General features: G+C 36.5%; 1 pseudogene; it reads left to right on the top strand.

Moving 5' to 3' along the window:
• Positions 3,447–5,309, top strand: LOC644456 (IK cytokine, down-regulator of HLA II pseudogene; annotated as a pseudogene).

Raw genomic sequence — 21,826 nt, 5'->3', positions numbered from 1 at the left:
TTTATACGTTTGTTTATATATACTTTCAGATTTATTTACATATACATTCACATGAATGCATATATATGAATGTATATATAAATATATATAGAAATATGAAAACATAGAAATACTTTATATGAAAAGTATATGTATGTATATGTGCGTATATGTATGTGTATATATATACTTCTGACCTTGTAGATACGTTTTCACATCTGAAATGATGTATACCAAAATAGAGTGATTGCCTTTGAGAGGCAGGTCACTACTCCTGTATCATTAAAAATTTTTTGCATGGACTATTTATTACTTTGTAATAAAAAGATACTTTTTTGAGAAAAAATATATCCAATATCAGGATAGTCTATTTTGGTCTTGTTTTGCTAGCTAATCATGGCTCTAATTTCCTCCTCTCCAAACACTTTCATTTCAGTGTCACAAATGCTGGCTCCAACACATTAACTTATTCTTATCAACTTGTTAAATGTGAGTCCCACGTTGTTGCTTTGATCAGGTTAACCAAACAGAATATTCGTCAAAATTACCTTCCATTCAGAAACCATCAAGAAACACCTTGCCTTGTCCACCCAGATTAACCCTGACGCAGACATTCCCTATGCCCTTTGTTGACTATTGGGAGACAACATTGCTTTGTCAAGGTCACCATGAGAAGAGGGCCTTTTCATGGCTTTAGGGCTTTGTCTCTTTGTTTTTGTTTTTCAGCTTACTTGAAGAACATAACCATATTCAAAATAAATTAATTTATATTTTCTTTTTCAAATTAAAAAAGTCTTCCTCTATTTTAAATTATAATGCAAATTGTGTAACACTTTCCCCCTCCTCTAATGTTTGACAATTTCAAGATTTTTTCTAATGTTAAGCATTATCCTTTTAAGATTAGGTTGAGAATATTTTAACTGTATGGCTACTCATCTGATGGGTAGATGGCGTAGACTTTTGCACGAAGCAGGAGGTACTGTATAGCATTTATTAGTTAATATGTATTTCTAAACAAATGTCTTCTAATATCTAGAATGTTCATTTTTAATAACTTTATAATTATTATATTTTATGTTTAACCATAGTAAACTTGCAAATTTGATTGCATTTCTATTAATTTTGTTTATTTTTTGACCAATGCCTCTCTTCCATCATGACCTAACACAATGCCATATAACTAAGTTGAGTTGAATAGATAGTATAGATGCATAAGGGGAGGCATTTTGAGAATCTATCGGTTTATAAAGTCGTCATCCCACCCCTTCAATCCTTTCTGCTTCTTCTCCACTGAGAATATAAGAGACTAAAAGTAGAACTACTATTTGATCCAGCAATCATACTACTGGGTATCTACCCAGAGGAAAAGAAGTCATTATTCAAAAAAGATACTTACACACACGTTTATAACAGCACAATTCACAACTGCAAAATCGTGGAACCAACCCAAATGCCCATCAATCAACAAGTGGATAAAGAAACTGTGATATATATATATGTACACACACACACACACACACACACACACACATACACAATAGAATACTACTCAACCATAAAAAGGAATGAATTAACAGCATTTGCAATGACCTGGATGAGACTGGAGACTATTATTCTAAGTGAAGTAACTCAAGAATGGAAAACCAAACATGGTATGTTTTCACTGATATGTGGAAGCTAAGATACAAGGACACAAAGGCATAAGAATGATACAATGGGCCGGCACGGTGGCTCACACCTGTAATCCCAGCATTTTGGGACCCCGAGGTGGGTGCATCATTTGAGATCAAGAGTTCAAGACCAGCCTGGCCAACATGGTGATATCCCGTCTCTATTAAAAATACAAAACTTAGTCAGGCATGGTGGCAGGCACCTGTAGTCCCAGCTATTCGGGAGGCTGAGGCATTGAGAATGTATGAACCTGGGAGGCAGAGCTTGCAGTGAGCTGAGATCACACCACTGCACTCCAGCCTGGGCGACAGAGCAAGACTCCGTCTCAAAAAAAAAAAAAAAGGAATGATACAAGGGACTTTGGGGACTTAGGGGGAAGAGTGGGAGGGAGGCAAGGGATAAAAGACTATATATGGTGCAGTGGGTGCAGTGTATACTGCTTGGGTGATTGGTGCACCAGGAGCTCACCAATCACCACTAAAGAACTTACTCGTGTAAACAAATACAACCTGCACCCTAATAACAATAACTTATGGAAAAATAAAATTTTAAAAAATGAATTTTAAAAAAAAGATAAGAGAAAGAAAGTGAGAAAGAGAATTTTTTATTCGTTGGTTTGGGTGTATCTAGAACATTGTTAATTAGCTGCTCAAAATATTTGCAAACGATATATTATTTTACTTAACATTAGTTCTTCCGTCAACCACCAAAAACAGATTTAAGGAATTTTAGTGGTAAAAATGAAAATAGGATGCTGAAATGCTAAGTGTAGACAAAGTCTTAGCAGTAATTCCTATAGGTTTGTAAGTGTATCAAGAGTATTTTCAGAATTATTTATCCATGTTGACCCAGCACTTTTGGATGGGGTCTAATTAAAGCTGTCAAACGTTATTGTAATTAGTCCCTAAAATTAACTGTAATCAAAATGGCTAAGGATAAATATATATTAACAACTACATATGTTTAATCAGTAATACCACTTAATTTGGTCATTTTAACATAGAGTATATATAAATGTTTATTTCAATTATTGAAACACATAGCTATCCATAGCCCTTCAGGATTTTATACATATATAATTTTTACACATCTTTACATATACCTATAGTGTTATGAACACCTATAAAATTGTCTTAAAATATTTATAATCTTACTTATTTGGCATAGTCATATAGCACTGGCATATGTTAAAAAAAAGTTACAAATGAAAATTCCTGAACTGTATTCCTGAATGAAATAAAGAGCACATAAAAGAAAAAGGGGAATGTGGCAGTCATATAGAATGCTTGCAGACCCCAGGAATGAAAAATTAAATGGAATAAAACAAAGAAAGAGGTTGAGTGGGAAAAGCAAAGGGGAAAAAAAGGAAACTAGATTATAAATTCCTCCAGCTAATTATCCTTATTTTCCGGTTATTTTGTATTTACCCTCAGCACATACATTGCGTTTAAAATATGGTGGGCTCTTAATAAATGTGGCCGACTCATTGGGAAGATAAAGGAAGGAGCGTATCAGCTAAGTCAGAGGGAGGAAAGGAATGTGTGGCCAATAAACAAAGTTAAAATTGTTCAATCTCTGTATTACCTAACAGATATTTTCACTTCCCACATCACTGATGAAATTTTATTGGTTTTTATTTTTTATATCCCCAGATTAATAGCTTAATCATTAACTATTAAGACAGGCACATTTTCCTTACCATGCAGACAACTAAGTTTCCAAAAGAAAACTGGATCTCAGCATCTTATCCAAAGACAGACAAATAAAAATATAACTACAAGAAACACAGATAGTAGGTTGGAGACTCGATTGTTGATGACAGCGGAAGAATGATAACAAAATGCCGGAGCGAGATAGTGAGCCGTTCTCCAACCCTTTGGCCCCTGATGGCCACGATGTGGATGATCCTCACTCCTTCCACCAATCAAAACTCACCAATGAAGACTTCAGGAAACTTCTCATGACCCCCAGGGCTGCACCTACCTCTGCACCACCTTCTAAGTCACGTCACCATGAGATGCCAAGGGAGTACAATGAGGATGAAGACCCAGCTGCACGAAGGAGGAAAAAGAAAAGTTATTATGCTAAGCTACGCCAACAAGAAATTGAGAGAGAGAGAGAGCTAGCAGAGAAGTACCGGGGTCGTGCCAAGGAACGGAGAGATGGAGTGAACAAAGATTATGAAGAAACCGAGCTTATCAACACCACAGCTAACTACAGGGCTGTTGGCCCCACTACTAAGGCGGACAAATCAGCTGCAGAGAAGAGAAGACAGTTGATCCAGGAGTCCAAATTCTTGGGTGGTGACATGGAACACACCCATTTGGTGAAAGGCTTGGATTTTGCTCTGCTTCAAAAGGTACGAGCTGAGATTGCCAGCAAAGAGAAAGAGGAAGAGGAACTGATGGAAAAGCCCCAGAAAGAAACCAAGAAAGATGAGGATCCTGAAAATAAAATTGAATTTAAAACACGTCTGGGCCGCAATGTTTACCGAGTGCTTTTTAAGAACAAGCATATAAGCGGAATGAGTTGTTCCTGCCGGGCCGCATGGCCTATGTGGTAGGCCTGGATGATGAGTAAGCTGACACAGATATCCCCACCACTCTTATCCGCAGCAAGGTTGACTGCCCCACCATGGAGGCCCAGACCATACTGACCACAAATGATATTGTCATTAGCAAGCTTACCCAGTTGCTTTCATACCTGAGGCAGGGAACCCGTAACAAGAAGCTTAAGAAGAAGGATAAAGGGAAGCTGGAAGAGAAGAAACCTGCTGAGGCTGACAGGAGTATTTTCGAAGACATTGGGGATTATACACCCTCCACAATCAAGACACCTTGGGACAAGGAGCGGGAGAGATATCGGGAACGGGAGCGTGATCAGGAGACAGAGACCGTGACCGAGAGCGAGAGCGAGAACGAGATCAGGAGCGAGAACGAGATCGGGAACGAGAACGAGATCGGGAACGAGAGTGAGAGCAGGACCGAGAGAGAGAAGAGGAAAAGAAGAGACACAGCTACTTTGAGAAGCCAAAAGTACATGATGAGTCCGTGGACGTTGACAAAGGACCTGGGTCGGCCAAGGAGTTGATCAAGTCCATCAATGAAAAGTTTGCTGGGTCTGCTGGCTGGGAAGGCACAGAATCGCTGAAAATTGCAGAAGACAAAAAGCAGCTGAGAGATTTCTTTGGCATGTCCAACAGTTATGCAGAGTGCTATCCAGCCACGATGGATGACATGGCTGTGGATAGTGATGAGGAGGTGGATTATAGCAAAATGGACCAGGGTAACAAGAAGAGAACCTTAAGCCGTTGGGACTTTGATACCCAGGAAGACTACAGCGAGTATATGAACAACAAAGAGGCTTTGCCCAAGGCTGCATTCCAGTATGGTATCAAAATGTCTGAAGGGCGGAAAACCAGACGCTTCAAGGAAACCAATGACAAAGCAGCGCTCGATTGCCAGTGGAAGATTAGTGCAATCATTGAGAAGAGGAAGAAGATGGAAGCTGATGGGGTTGAAGTCAAAAGACCAAAATACTAATCACCAGTTACAACCAGAGTCGCTCCACAAGGATATGCTCCCCACTGTTTTCTTTCTACAATTTCCGAAGGTTGCAAGATGTTTTTTTGTGGATGAATATAAAATTTTATTGTGAAAAAAAAAAGAAACACAGATAGTAAAAAAAATGTTATGTCTGGCAACACAGCTCATTCAAAAATAAATAATCATTTACTGATGATGGGCTTTGTAGATTCCCATCATCTACAGATTAGAACATATAAGGACAAATTCTGAAGAGCTATACTCCCTTCCATCTTTTCTCTACCTGCAATGAAAATTACAGAATTCTTATTGAAGGATACTAAGGTTCTATTCTATTTTCCAGCCTTAAATAGAGGAATTAGAGGATACTGGTTTTTGTGTGTGTGTGTGCTTTGTTGTTGTTGTTGTTGTTGTTGTTGTTTTTAGAGAGAACAAACATATCAAAGCTGGGGCTCAAGTATTCAGCCAAGAGAGAAATTATTTGCCAGAATACTTGGCTTTAAAAAATGCTTAAAAATATGCATCCCCTCTTTCCAAGACCACCACCTGCTGCTGTTCTTATAGGAAGGTACGAGAGGGAATCTGTCAACCTACTTTGGCAACCAAAGACCACATGAAAAAGTAAAGTATCCTTCAGGAAAACAGCCCCAATACATTTTTTCGAAATAATCAGATCCAGGATTCTGAATTGCAAAATGTTCTGCATTTATGGAAACATAAAAATTTTTAAATTAAAAAATTAAGCTTGCAGTTATTTTCATTGCCATAAAGAGCATAATATTTCAAAGGTGACACCTCTGTTATTAACAGGCATTTGCAAAAGCTTGGAAAAATAACATTTTTTAAAAATTCATGAAGAAATAATATAGTTGTTTATCATTAAGAGGCAAGAATATTTGGAAGACAGTAGAGTCCAGTATAATGTGAGCATGGTTTTGAATCTCACTTGTGTCATTTGTTAATTATATGAGCATGGACAAGTGACAAACTTCTCTGAAACACAATTCAGTAAAATGGGATTAGTATTACAAGATGAAATTCAGCTACTTAGGATCTCTGTCTCAGGTCTGTTCAGGAGGAAAAGTTGGGATTCGTTATTTCTTATCCAATAACATAAGTATTTTTAAAGAAGAAATATATGCAGGGAATTTCAAAGAACAAATGCCAAGTGCTTTTCAATCCTAAGTTAGGACCGTACTATATGTGTATAAATATCTTAAATATACATTAAACGTTTCCCAAAGTCTACATAAGAAATGTTGGCAGTATTTCTTTCGGTGAAGTGAGACTAGAAGGTTTAAGGAAGAAGAGCTCAGGGAGCTAGATGTTATGTTAACTTTTAATTTCATTCTCTCCTATAATGTTTAAGCCTTTAACAATGTACATATGTTAGATGATTCAAAAACTAATATGAAACACAAATGAATTATTTTAAATATCAGCATGAGGTAATATAACTTTTTTAGCATATGAAAGCAAGGAATTCATGCTCCTTTTCTCACAAAAAAACAACCTATGAAACCAACTATAAAAAAATTACCAAAAATAATTCATTTTTTAATAAGAGATTAAGATGGCAATAAGGCCAGGCGCGGTGGCTCACGCCTGTAATCCCAGCACTTTGGGAGGCCAAGGCGGGCGGATCACAAGGTCAGGAGACGGAGACCTTCCTGGCTAACATAGTGAAACCCCAACTCTACTAAAAATACAAAAAATTAGCTGGGCGTGGTGGCGGCTGCCTGTAGTCCCACCCAGCTACTCGGGAGGCTAAGGCAGGAGAATGGTGTGAACCCAGGAGGTGGAGCTTGCAGTGAGCCAAGATGGCACCACTGCACTCACTGCACTCCAGCCTGGGCTACAGAGCAAGACTCCGTCTCAAAAAAAAAAAAAAAAAAAAAAAAAAAAGGGCAATAAATGATTTTTAACAAATGCCTTGTAGGTACGTGATGTCTTTGGGCTAATGACTAATGTTTGTATAAAATGTTTTCAATATTTGATCTTTAAGACATAATCAACCAGTGCTATCACCACTATCATTTTCATACTGAGGAAGACTGTAAACACCTTAGAAAAATGGAAATGCTCTTAGGATAGGGAGAAGAATTATTCATCTTCATAGCTCCACTGTATACCACAATGATTGGCACATAGTAGCTCATAAATAATTAATTGATGAATACATAAATGAATAAAAAAAGCATGACACAGAAGATATTCATTCATTCAATACTTTCCCCAAACTGTTAATGACCATATTGAAGATGTCTATGTTTTCATCCTTAGCCCTATCCTGCCCAGAGAACCCACCCCATTCCCCTAAAATGAATCTTCTTTGCTAACTGGTCAGTAGCTCCTGCCCTCTTGATATAAGCTGATTGGACCACAGGTGGAGACTGACACAAGTTAGGTAACAGGTTCTCTTATCTGCAGTTTGCTTCTCTCTACTGGACACTTGAACAGGGAAGCCGAATTTGGAACATGCAAAAATGAAGGAAAGAAATTCAGTCTCTAGAGATAGAGAAGGATATGTCTAAAACTTAAGAACAAAGACGTAAGTTTCCTCATGAGGCTCAACTACAGTTAGTCCCATTAGGTTTTCTGAGCTATCACTATATCTTTCCAAATATTCATTATTTTTAAAGGCTTAATTTATTTTAGGTGGGTTTCTCTTCCATACAAATAAACAGTGAGGCTCCTGTCACCAAAAAACCTACAGAATACTCACTATATTCTTTGGCTTTCCCACTATTAACAAAGATGAACTATACAGGTTTCTATTTAAAGCTGATCCCTCTGTGTGCACCGCATCACATCCTGTCTCGCCTACTATGGAAAATTTCAACCAGAAATTCACCCCCTTTTTTATTTAGATCATCAAATTTTAAATCTCTATTGAATTCGTCCCTTTAAGATATACAAACTACTTTTTTCTTTCATTTTAAAACAAAACAAAATTTCTATTACCCAGTAGTGTCCTGGAGCTGGCTCACTCCAGCCCTTGAAAGCCAGTTGTGCCCAACTCTTCTCAACTCTGTGTTCAGTAAAATCAGCCATAATAGGAGAATTTGCACTACTGAAATTGGCAAAAGCTACAACTCAAAATTTCTTTAAAATTTTTATTTTTGCCAGAGAGCTGGTTGTTAAATACTTACCAGCATATCACTTTCTTGATCTCACTGCCTTCACCAAGTATCCCATTTCCTTGTTCCTCCTTTCAGCAAAATATATCAAAAGTATTGGGCATAAACATATTCTCTATTTTTTCACTTAAACCATTACAATCAAGCTTTGTCCCCACCATTTTACTGAAACTACTCTTATCAAGGTCTCCAATGACTTCTACGTTGCTAAATTCAGTGGTCAATGATCAGTTCTTAGATTATTTAATCTATCCACAGCATTTGACCCAGTTGATCATTTTTCTCTCCCTTCACTGGTCATTTCTTCTCAGTCTCGTTTGTTGGTTCCTCCTCTTTCCTCTGACCTCTTAATGTTGGAGGGCTCCAGGGCCTTACTCTCTTCTCCATCTATACCCTCTTGATGACCTCAATAAGACCTATGGCTTCAAATACTATCTAGAAGCTCATGGCTCCCCAATCTACAGGTACAGCAGACTTTTCTCTTGAATTTCACACTCTTAGATGCAATGATTCCAACACCACTTGGATATTTAAAAGATATCTCAAATTTAACAAGTCCAAAACTGAAATAATCTTCCTTCCCAAACATATTTCACCAATAATTATACATCTACGATAATGGCAACATCATCTTTCCAGTTGCTTGAGCCAAAAACTTTGTATGTAGTCACCTTTTATTTCTTTCTAACTGCCACATTCCACACTCAACTCATTAGGAAATCCTGTTGGTTTTACCTTCAGACTAGCTCCAAAACATAACATTTCTCTCCCCATTCCACTGCTGCTAGCCTGGTTCAAGCATATAGCCTGGATTATTCTGATTCTCCAATGAGGCTCCATACTATCATTGTAGTCCCTGCATGGTTTACTCTCAACAAAAACAGCCAGAGTGACCCTTTTAGAAGTAACATCATATCATGTCACTTCTCTGCTTAAAGCTGTGGGATTACACCCTTTTGCTCAAATTAAAATGTCAAAATCCAGACAATGACCCGCAGGCCCTTCATGAGCCAGTGTTCTGTTAACTCTCTGATACTGTCCCCCACTACTCTCCCTTTCATTCAGGCCTTTCTAGCCACACTGAGGCGGCATCTCAAATATGCTAGATATGTTCCTGCCTTTGGGCCTTTGCTCCAGCTGTTCACTTTGCCTGAAACCATCTTCTGTCTATGAACTTGGCTGACTCCCTATGGCCTTCCAGCCTTTTCTCACCTCTTCTCCTATTTTAATATATTGCAACGTATCCACCAACTTCCTGTCCTCTGTATACCTCTTCTCTATTCTTTTTTTTTTTCATTGCACTTAACAACTACTACCCTACTTTATAATATACTTATTTGTTATGTTTACTGTCTGCCTGTCCTCACCAGAATGTAAGCTTCCCAAGGGCAAGAATTACTGTCTGGTTTGCTGATGACCCAAGTGTCTAGGGTAATCTGGTACCTAGTAAATTCTCAATAAATATTTGTTGAAAACAATAAATGACCAGCAACAACCAATAAATGGCAAAGACCATTCTGAATTTATAATATACAAACAAATCTGTGACTGTAAAAATCAGAAGTGCTAACACTGTTTCCCTAATGAAATTTTAGCTTCAACAGCTTTCTGGTTGAAATTTAAAATTTACAGAAGAAATGCAGCAGTATTCTCACAACCGTACCTAAACCTCTCTCATATCTGGGACTCAAATCTTGGGCTCTTATAAGAGCTCACAGCTCCTATAGGAGTTGTGCATTTATCAGTTGTGACACAAATGGGCCCGTGTAGTATTTTGTACATATGGTGTTAACTTTTATGCTTTAATATATATGTGCAATATAGCTGAATTATACTTGCTCTAGGAACCATCACTTTTATTTTACTGACTTTTGTGTATTTAAAACCTCAGGCATAATACAGTCTTGAATTAACAAAGTTTTTTTGTTGTTTAATTTCCACAGAAGTAAGAAAAAGAAAAGAATAATTGTTTCAACATTCAAATTTCTTCATGGCTTGTACAATGCAAAATTTTTCCAAGTTTAGGAAGTATATGAGAACTAGAGATTAGAAAATGGATGTGAAGTCCCCAAACATCTCTGCATCAACTAACTCCAAGTAGGTTTCTAACACACACATTATTGTGCCTAATTTAAAACACGTGACATAAAAGAATCATGTGTGGAGTTTTAAAACTATGAAATACACTTACTCACATATGAATTGAAAACTAGTAGCCATAGACTGTAGTGATTTCAAACTGAATCTTTCTTTTGCTCTTCAATTTAATCTTTTTTTTTTTTTTTTTTTTTGAGACGGAGTCTCATTCTGTTGCCCAGGCTAGAGTGCAGTGGCGCGATCTGGGCTCACTGCAACCTCTGCCTTCCGAGTTCAAGCAATTCTTCTGCCTCAGCCTCCTGAGTAGCTGGGATTACAGGTGCCCGCCACCACAACCGGCTAATTTTGTATTTTTAGTAGAGACGGGGTTTCACCATGTTGGCCAGGCTAGTCTCAAACTCCTGACCTTCAGTGATCTGCCCACCTCAGCCTCCCAAAGTGCTGGGATTACAGGCATGAACCACCACTCCCAGCCCAATTTAACCTTACAGCTATTACAACACAAGAAAACTTCTGGACAAAAGCACTTAATTAATTTTAATTGCGCATTTAAACCAGTACAACAAAAAAGAATGAGCACACCTATAATGAAGTTAAAAAAGTGAGTTTGAAGGGAAACATTAATATATTCAACACAAAATAATAAAAACTAAGGGGATTATCAATGCATCATGACAGATTTGTATTCACTGAATTAATAAATAGAAGGAATGACTTTTAAAAACCTATGAAACCTATCATGTAAATGTCACATAATCCAATAGATATACTTAAGCAAAACTTTGAAGCAGTTTGTAAATACAACAAAGTATAAAATAGGAAGAACGGTTGAGGAAAACATCTTCAAACACTGTTTTGGGTGGGTTGTATTCAAACTTACTTTCACCTATATCCATCAGAAATGTTATAATTATCGGCCGGGTGCGGTGGCTCACGCCTGTAATCCCAGCACTTTGGGAGGCCAAGGCGGGCGGATCACGAGGTCAGGAAATCAAGACCGTCCTAGCTAACGCGGTGAAACCCCGTCTCTATTAAAAATACAAAAAATTAGCCGGGGTGGCAGGCACCTGCAGTCCCAGCTACTCGGGAGGCTGAGGCAGGAGAATGGCGTGAACCTGGGAGGCGGAGCTTGCAGTGAGTCGAGATCGCGCCACTGCACTCCAGCCTGGGCGACAGAGCAAGACTCCGTCTCAAAAAAAAAAAAAAAGAAAAGAAAAGAAAAGAAATTTTATAATTATCATAATTGAAACACATTACATCCTTGGCCTCAGTTTCTAATCTTGCAGACATGAAAGAGTTGGGCGCAGGCTAACTATGTGTCTTATGTTTGGGGTAGTAGCCTGGTCCAGATTTTCTAAAATACCTTTAATTTAAAATATTCTGCCCTTATCTTTCAGTTTGTGTGTCCCAGAGTTTTGTTCAAACATGTGGTTTACAAATTCTTTGTCTATTATAATTTTAAATTTGTAAAAATTAGGAAATAGTTGGGATTGGTTTATATCAATCCAAAAAATAAGATTTTAGGGGCATATGTACTAACCTCTTTAATGCAACACAACTGTTTCTTTAGTCCTTTGGCATGATCATTTGTATATAAAGCAATTCTTATCTTTTGGATCTGGCAGGATCTCTACTTGACAAAAGTATTAGCTGCTAGGTTTTTGTGAGTGAAAATAAATTGCATTTTTTTTTTTTAAATCACAATTCATTATTTTCACTGACTCAGACTGGCTTCTCCACCAACCCCTCAGATTAGTTTAAATTAAATAAATTATTGGTTCAAAAAATCTAGACAGTTACTTAATCAAATAACAAATACCCAAGCAGGCTGCTCGAAATCACGTGCACTGATACATTCTTAGGCCCAGTGACCATAGAATCATCTGCCTTTGCTATAGGTAAATGATTCCTCCAGGGAGGAGCAGTTTTTCTAACAGAAATTTCCACATAGGTCCACTTTGACATTACTTAGGATTCTCCTTTGAGAATTTTCTAATAGCAAATACACACACAGAACGACCAAAACATCAAGGGAAAATTGATCCTAAAGGTACGACTGTCCTAGTTGTTCAGCTTGACTTGTACCCCAGTGGGAGAGGAAGAACTAAAAAGTGTGCTATAATTTCTTGTTCATCAATGCAGAACCCAGCACAGGAAGAAGGTGAGAAGACCCTGAGGTGAGTGGGATGATGAAGAAGACCAAGTGGGAGCCCATAAGTCTGTCTTCTTATGGTTATTGGTGCATAGATACTTGGGCAGCTCACCCCTGTGCTGACACTTTGCTTTCATTTCTCACTTTTTTATCTCCATGATTTTCTGTTAACTTTCTATTAACATCTGTCAAAAACCTAGTTCCAGTTCTGACCAGCCTAAGGGCTATAGGTTGAATTGGGTCAAGGCAAATAGGAAATAACTGATCTAGTTTCTACAAGGTCTTCATGGACTGAATGAAAATTATGCAGAAAGCACTAAATATTCATATTCTGTCTTTCTGTATCTCTTTCTGCTTCATGTTCTTTTTGTATTTGGTTTTGATGGGAATCTATATCTCTAAGGAAACCTTTTTTAAAAAACTGCAGCCAGTATCTGAATTATCTTAAGCTAATATAATATGCCAGACAGAGTATAAATGGGTGAAGATTTATAATTTCCAGTGAATATTTTCCAAGTTTTCCAGGATCATCTATACTATTTTTTGGTTAATATAATTTTTTTTTTAAATCACCCTTAACAGGACATGTAGAGTGGTTAAAACATGACATGTTTTTATTGAGGAAAAAAGAATTAGGGAAAACAACAGAGGCAAAAATAAATAAAATCAGACTTAAATAATGTATATTTATTCAGCATCTATTCACTTGTTCAAAAAATTATCGAGTGCCTACCATGTGCCAGGGAACAGGCAGGTACACATTGCCTTCACATTGTCGTGGTGAGACAGGCACTATACCATAACATAAATTCATAGCGATAACTGCCATGGGGAAAGTGAAGCAGGAAAAGTGACCCACAGCGGGTGCTATTTTCAATAGGGTGGACAAAGAAAATTGGGAAGAAGGGCCAAATATAGAATATATTTTGATAATATAGCCAGCTGAAATTGCTAATGGGTTGGATGTGTGGTCCAAAAGAGAGGAATCTAGGATGAGTCAAGGGTTTGCCTAAGTAATTGAATAAATGGCAATGGTGGTGGTATATTGATTGAAATACAGAACACTGCAGGAAAAGGGTTTGCAGAGTGAGGCTAAGTGGAAACCAAGTGTTCTGTGTTAAACATGCTAATTTTGAGATGTCTATTAGATGATGATAAGCACTTGGAGATTAGAAGAGAGGCAGGTGCTAGAGAAAAACACTTGTGGTCATCAGTACGTACATGGGATCTAAGCCATGGGAATAGTGTATTGCCCCAACAGTGAGTGCAGATCCAGAGTATAAGACATGTGAAGACTGGTCCCAGAACACACCAATATGTTCAGGTGGCAATGAGGGGGAGTGGGAGGAAGATCTAGCCGAGATATATGATGAAGGACCAGTGAGGTAGGAAGGTGACCCTAGGTGTGATGTTCAGGAATACTCACCAACACCAAAAAAGTGTTTCAAGTGCATCAGATGCCGTGAGATGTCAAAGATAAGTATAGGGAATTTCAGTAGAGTGACAAGTATAAAAGCCTATCTGTAGTGTGGTCAAGAAAGAATAAGAGGCGAGCAGGCAGAGAAAACCAGTACCTTAGCAACAGCATCTTGCCAAATTAGCAAAGCATCACTTGAAATAGTATTTCATGTTGTTCCTTAGTTCTTTGCTGCTTAATTTTCAGCATGGCCTCCAGCCATTTTAGTATTGAGCTTCTGAGTTCAGTGTTTGGTGCTGCAGTAAAAGCTTCATTTTGAGCAGTTTAAGTAAGAAATAAAAGAAGGCAGAAATCAGGCAGGCACTTTAATATAGGATTTCTCTATAAGCTAAACTATGTTGTTGTTAGCATTATATTATACTGGCTGATTATCTGATGTTAACACTTATAGTAATTTTTTCTCTAAATATGTCAAAAAGAAGTTAAAGAGCTGCAAAACATCCAAATAACAGAAATAATTTTTAAACCATATGTTGGATTTAATGAATGTTTAGTTAAATAGAAATAGGCTTTGAGGACATCAGGTCTCTGAGATAATTTTGAAAGAGCAGGAGGAAGGTGACTGACGATGTGATTGCTATAATAATTTTTATTTTCTTTTTTTCGTTTTAGTCTGGAGAGATTGGACTACAAAGCAAAATGAACTGTTATACAGACTTAGGTGGAAAGTATACTCTCCTACCAAAAAAACCAGTTGTTTTCCTATTTCTTTCTGCACTTAATCCTATCTTCAATGTGCCCTTTTAATTGACTTTAACACAAATATTATGAATATGAATTACAAGACAATATTAAAGGTAAAAGAAAACTTAAAATGACAAGCTAAACTGTTTCACCGAAATGTATTTGCATGTGTCCAAACCTTACTCATATATCAACATCTAATTTAGATAAACCTCCATTGAGGCCTTCCCAGTCCTTTCTTCTTAGAATAAGTCTCTTTCTCCTATACATTTGAATAACATTCTACCTGTAACTCTCATTCATCTTTTCATTCATTCAACCAACATTACTGAGCACTTATTATGGGCTGGTCCTCTTCTAGGAGCTTCAGATGCATCAGTGAAAAGAGGAAAAGACCCCTGCCTTATGGAGCTGAGATTCTAACAAGGAGAAACAACAATAAATAGAATACACAAAAAAAATCACGTAGCATTTAAAAGGTGATAGATTCTTTGGAACATGAAATGTAGAGCAGAGTAACGGGATGGGAGTGTAGGGGGTTGCAACCTGTAATGCAGTGGTTAAGATAGGGTTTACTTAGAGGTGACATCTGAGCAAAGACTTGAAGGAGGTGAGGGCATTAGTAACATAGATCTGTGGCGAAGACCTAGAACAAAGAACTAGAAACGCGCCTGGTGCTGTTGAGGGACAAAAAAGAGGCCAGAGGGGCTTGAGGGAACCTGGGGAGGGGAAAGGTAGTAGGAAATAAGGTCAGAGGCCATTGGTGTGGGGGTTTGAAGGGACATATCATGGCAGTGAAATGAGTGCTATTACAGAGTTCTGAAGCTGAGGAGTGACATCATCTGACTTTTAATTTAAAAGGAGCTTCTGGCTGCTGTGTTGAGAGTGCTGGGGTGTGTGAGAAGTAGGAGTAGGGGGACCAATTAGTAGGCCCTGTAGTTATGTAAGCAAGAGATGATAGTGACTCACACACTTCATGCAAGCACTGGAGCCGGTAAGAAGCGGTTAGAGTTTCATATCACTTTTTTACTTTTGTCATATTATGTACATGTCTTATTGCCACTTCTAGACTCTGCACTACTTGAGGCCAGAATTTGTGTTCATTTTTGCATGTCCAATGGGTACTCAATATTTTTAATGAATAAATAAATGAATGGTCACTAGACAAAGAATCTAGCTTATCAATATCTTTGGCACACACCCTGAATTTCAAGGCGTATTTATAAATGGACAATAGCACCACCAAGAGCATCAACTTTGAATAAGGGCAAAAAAAAAAAATGAATAAAATCTACATACTGCAGAACTGATAGCAGAATAATATAAAGGGAAAGATAGCCTTTATTTTACCTGTGTTTTATTTAATTTTTGATGAGTGTTTAGAAGTAATCTATTATATTTTCTCTATGTTCTTCTTGAAGTAAAGTAGTAGCCAAGGGAGAGAGAAATTTCTGTAGCATACAGACAGGTTCACAGTAGGTTTTGTCATGGAAATATTTATCATTATAAGAGCCAGTCAAGTGACATTCCATAATGCTAGCCCTTTCTGTAGTTAACACTGCAGGGAAGAAATCTCTCTCTGTCTTCAAATTCCAGTATAATAATAAAAAAGAAAACAACAAATGCATATAAAATAAATAACTTCTCCAACACATACGTACTCGACATTACAACAGAAAAGTTATGCAATCATTTGCTATTAAATCACAAACTTCCAAAACTTCAAAAGAGCAAGAGGAAAATTCCTTCAGAAAAAAACAAATTACCCATGTATGGATAATGTCCATACATAGTTGCAGAATATAGCTAAAGAAATGTTCTTTTTAAATAAGTGGTCTACATTTTAAAACTGCAACATCCAAATTGGGTATAGAGTTTGAGAAAAAGCTGCTATGTGCAATGTGGAAATAATTTATAAATACTTATAAAACATTCAGGAAGGGAGTAGATTTCAATACCTTTCTTTAATATATAATGTTTTTAAAGAAATCATTACAGTAGCAATGAATCTTTGCGATGGAAGCAGTAGTTTTACAGTTTGGATTCTAGAACCACAAAATTCCTGATCAACTCTGTAATTAGAAGGGAAATTTTCATCTTTCTAAGTTGTGTCTCCTATTTCTCCATTCCCTATTTCTATTTTCTCTAGTAACCATTGAAAAGATCAAGTTCAACTTATGACAAATCTAATTGAAAAATACCAGCCTGAATTGGAGGTTAATGTTTTCAGACAGTGGTTCTGCCATCTAATCATTCCACAAATATTTATTGGGTACTTAATATTTCCTGCCAAAGAGATAAGGTCATTACCTTTAAGAAGTTAAAATTTAATGAGGAAGAGATACAAACACGCAGTAAAATAGTTTGACAGTGCCCTAATAGAGCTATGCTCAAGGTACTACTAGGCCCACTCAGCGTGCTATGGGGACGCAGGGAGGCAGGGAAGGCCTATGGGAGGAGGCGCTGTTTCCACGTTGTGAAGGATGAGCAAAGCTGGTCAGAGAAAACAAAGGGAAAGGGAATCCTCAGCAGAGGGCGCCATGATCATGATCTCATTTTTAGAACTGCCCCAATAGCTGTGGGGAAGACAAAAGTGATAGCAGTAGGCTGGAGGCAGGAGGATCACTCCAGAGGCTTAGAGGAATCCAGGGAGGAAATCATGAGGGTCTGAACGTAGGAAATGGCAGTCGGAAAGGAAACAAGGGGCAAGTTCAAGATATATTTAGGAAATAGACCATAAAAGATGTGGCATTGACTAGTCAGGAAGAATGAAGAGAGGAAGAATGAAGAAGAATGAAGGACAGGGAGGGAGTTAGGAGCTTGAGAGGCTGGATATATGGAGAGCTGAACTCTAAGGGAAGAAATGCAGGAGAAGAAATGGGTGAAACAACAGCAGAGCGGATGTTTTTTGAAACTCAAAAGATTTGTCATGACATGTATTTGACATTATGACTAATTGACAAATATAAACTAGCTGTGGTATGAAGATATTCTACCCACAGAGCCTATTCAGAGTCATGAACATTACAGAGATCACTGAGGAATACTTGAAGAAACTCCTTCCATTCTCCCTGGTCACCAAATGTAAAGTATTGACGAGATAGAGACTAGCAGTCAGTATAGATTTTAGATATTTGTTTAGTGAATATTTACCAATTTTAGAACTTCCATTACACAATCAGAGGCATGGCTTCTGAAAAAAAAATCTTAGCATACTGTATTTTCGTGAACATTAACATATATAATGGAAAGGAGAGTAAAACAATAATTTTTAAAATATTTAACTTTATTTACAAATTAATGGTGACTTTTTCATTTCAGATCTTAAGTGTCAAGTTAATTCACTCATTAAAATTTAGATACATTTTAATACCCTATTATATTTTATTATTCAAGGACTTTCTTACCATACAAAGAAGATGAAATGCTCTTTCAGACCAGTTATCATTTCTGGTTACTATTTCCTTTTTTTCTTGTCTGATTCCAAATGTGCACTGGGAATATCAACAATACCCATGAAATAAATCCCTTCTCAAGCAGGACATTCTGAGTATCTGATTTATCACTCTGCATAGCTCCCATTAAATAATTTCTACAGTTTCAATAATAACCACAACTCTAGAATAATATATACTAGGATGCTCTATTTCAAGATCTGTAAAACTAGACATATATGAGAAAAATTTATAATATTTTAATATATTTCTGGACTCATGAATAATGAGTCATTTTTGTTAGATTATACAAATATGATCCACCAATAAAACATTTCATCTCAAATGTAACCAGATTTTGTCTACCTAGTATAAAGTAAGGAAATCCTGCATACTCCAGCAAAAAAAAAAGAAAAGAAAAAAGCATTCTCTAAATCAGTGTTCAGTGTTTTTCAAATTGCAGATGTGACCTATTTGTAGATCATGAAATCAATTTGGTGAGTTACAACCAGCATTTTTACACAATGGAATAGAATACAAAAGAACAGATATCAGAGTATATTACATTTCATAAGAGTATGTATGGTTTTGTAAAAGTTTGGTATATATGTATGTGCATACTGGGTACTAACATTAAATATTTCTTATCAGGAGTTGCATTTAAAGAAATTTGAAAGCCCCTGGTTTAAGTAACTTTGTCCACAGTATTGCTGAGACTTGTCAGGGGTCTACAGCTCAAATGTGAAATGAAAATAAATTTTAAGAGATGTGAAGATTAACTTTTCTACAACAGTTCTCTGAAACTCAAGCACTCACTTACTTTAAGCTGTCAAATATTTTACAAAATAATACCTAACAAATAGGATCAAAGGTTTCTCCTATACTATGTTTTGTAACTAAGAATATGTGGTCCAATATCACTAAATGACAGATTCTAACTTGCTTGATTGAGCCTTGCTATTTAGTAGTCATTACGGATAGAAGTTTCATTTAGTTGCATTGATCTTGTATTTAACTTTAGAATAAATTCAGAAGCTGAGCCATAAAATGTATGGTATGAATCCTTAACCCATGAGGACCCTTAAAAGGTCAAGAAAGCAACTGTAATTCCCACAAAAAACACACAAATGCATATGTTATCATTATATATAGCCTACACGAATATGCCCCAACATGTTATCATTAGGTATAAACCAGAGAATATTCTACAGTATTTTAATTCTACTATACTTAAATAATACATAAAAGACACAAATACAGTTTTCATTTTTATGCTCCACTGCAATTTTATGAGGTCTAAAAAACATAAAAGTTACATACAAGTCTTTATTTATGCCACCAAGAGTAAGTTTTATCCTTGGAAATGCTTAAAAACTTGGCCTAATACATACTGCCCAGTTATTCCTCATCCTTTGATTCCTTAACCTATATTTTTGTGAATAAATTTTAAGTCAGAAATTACTGATAAAGTATCAGTCATGAGTTTCACCTGAACTCAAAATTCTCCTCTTTTGAGAGAGCTATAATAAGTGGAAGTTTATATTTTATTTCATTGCTATCATTTCATTCCTTAGGTTCTTTATGGTGTTTTTAAAAATCCATAATATAATTCTATGAGAGTTAACATAATAGACTGTAACAGCTGTTATGGTCTATTGTGTAAATAAGTAATTACAGAATTTACAGACTATCATGTAAATATATAATTATGGACTTTTTAAAATGTGCATTATTTACTCGATAGTCTATCGTTTACATATGTAATTATGGACTTTAAAACATGTATTATTTACTCAGTCTGTAACAGCTCCTTGGGACAGAGTCGTTCTGGCCTATCGGGTAAACATGTAATTACAGAAATTTTTTAAATATGTATTATTTATCTGATAGTGCTGCTACAGATTATCACATCCATACGTAATCATAGATTTTTTAAAAGTGGGTATCATTACTTTGTAAAATGCTTCTGCAAGTCAACTCAGAGACTTTCAGTTCATGGCTCAGTTATCCAAAACTATGTGGTGATTCCTCCATATAGAATATTTGCAAAGAAAAGTGTTTTTTTTGCAAGTAATCTAAGTAAATTTTCAAGTTTCCTGAAGAAGTTATAAAAAACTGACCCCAAAGAAAACAAGTCATTTTGAGAACTGACCCCAAAGAGAACAAGTCATTTTGAGAGACGGGATATTTTTATAATAGTCTCTAGCTTAAGGTTCTTTTATCTTTCATTTTTTCAGTTATCTACATTACCATAATATTTATTTTTTAAAGCCAGAACCTCTTAATTCATCTGGTTTCTTTAAGGCAGAGTATCTGGCATGCATTTTACCTGTTATCTCCTTTAATATTCAATTATGTACACCTCCTTATGCAGTAGTATACTGGTAAATGTTTAACAGTTGGCTGGAGTGAGGGGGATTTAAATCACTCGCCATTTTCTGTGGTGTAAATGATCCCACCATGGCTGATTTCAAGCTACCAAAGGGATGTCACTTAACTCAATGTCACTCAACTAGTGAGCCATACAAGCAGGTAGGAGCCTATTTCAGCACACCACTACCTCTTACATCATTTCACATTCCAATTATTGAATGTCTTTTAATGTAGATTTTGAGGAAGTTAGAAACAAAAGTCTAATTGCTAAGGGCACATGAGGTGTTTAAAGCTTAAAATTAACGGACACACCTTCAATTAACAATCAATAAGAGACCTCTTTCTAGGTTCAGAAGATGCCAAAACTTTCTCTTAATCAAGTATGTAAGCAGCACTCTGGGATTGGGGGCAGGGAACGGCATTGTTTGGTACATCTGGTAGGAGGCCAATCCTGAGGTGGTTCATTACAACTGAGGTACACCTATGAAGAATAGTTTGGCAAAAAATTTAGAGATAAGTATCATGAGGGTGGTGGGGCTAGAAAACTTTAAGATGTATTCTAATCCTGTGAGCTGTTTTCATGATTTAATAAATAAGGTAAAGGTTAAATATATCGCATTTCAAAAAGCCATCCATACTTCCACAATTGTGCATTAACAGATTTAATTACTCTTTTTAACTGAGTAGTAAGTTGTAAGCTCAGCTAGACAATTCTAGAAGATGGAACTTCAAGAGAAATGCCATCAAAATAAACTTCAGATCACACTATTAAAACTAAGGATGTTAAAGTTGTGCCTTTTATTTTAATAACAGACTAAATCATTGCTCTGTACTGCAATTATAAGAGCAAAACTTTGTACTACTTGTACATTCCAGTTTTTTGAAATATATGATTGAATATTCATCAATAAATGACAAAGATTTACAGTGTATTCAAAGATTATTAATTACTTCCAATACTCTTAGTTTTAAATCTGGGGGAGAATATACTGATCTGCCTGCAGAGCATGGACAAGGAATCAGTGTGTATATATATATATATATATATATATGATTAATTCTCCAAATACTAGGTGGACTTAAACACATCATCATGTGTGGTCAACAGAACAGACAGCCAGGGCAAAGGAGCTATCAGGAAAGTTCTATCCAAAGGCAACAAGATATTATATACATTTGTCTAAGATGCTCATAAAATTTTATTTCATTCTACCACTAAAAACATTCTGTGGAAGGCAGGACCTTCCATACACATTGAATTTTAGTACGGTAGT

This window comes from Homo sapiens, chromosome 2 (genome assembly GCF_000001405.40).
Source record: "Homo sapiens chromosome 2, GRCh38.p14 Primary Assembly".
In the NCBI taxonomy this organism is placed as follows: domain Eukaryota; kingdom Metazoa; phylum Chordata; class Mammalia; order Primates; family Hominidae; genus Homo; species Homo sapiens.
Note: the sequence above shows the minus strand (reverse complement) of the source record. Positions and strands in the feature narration are given on the sequence as shown.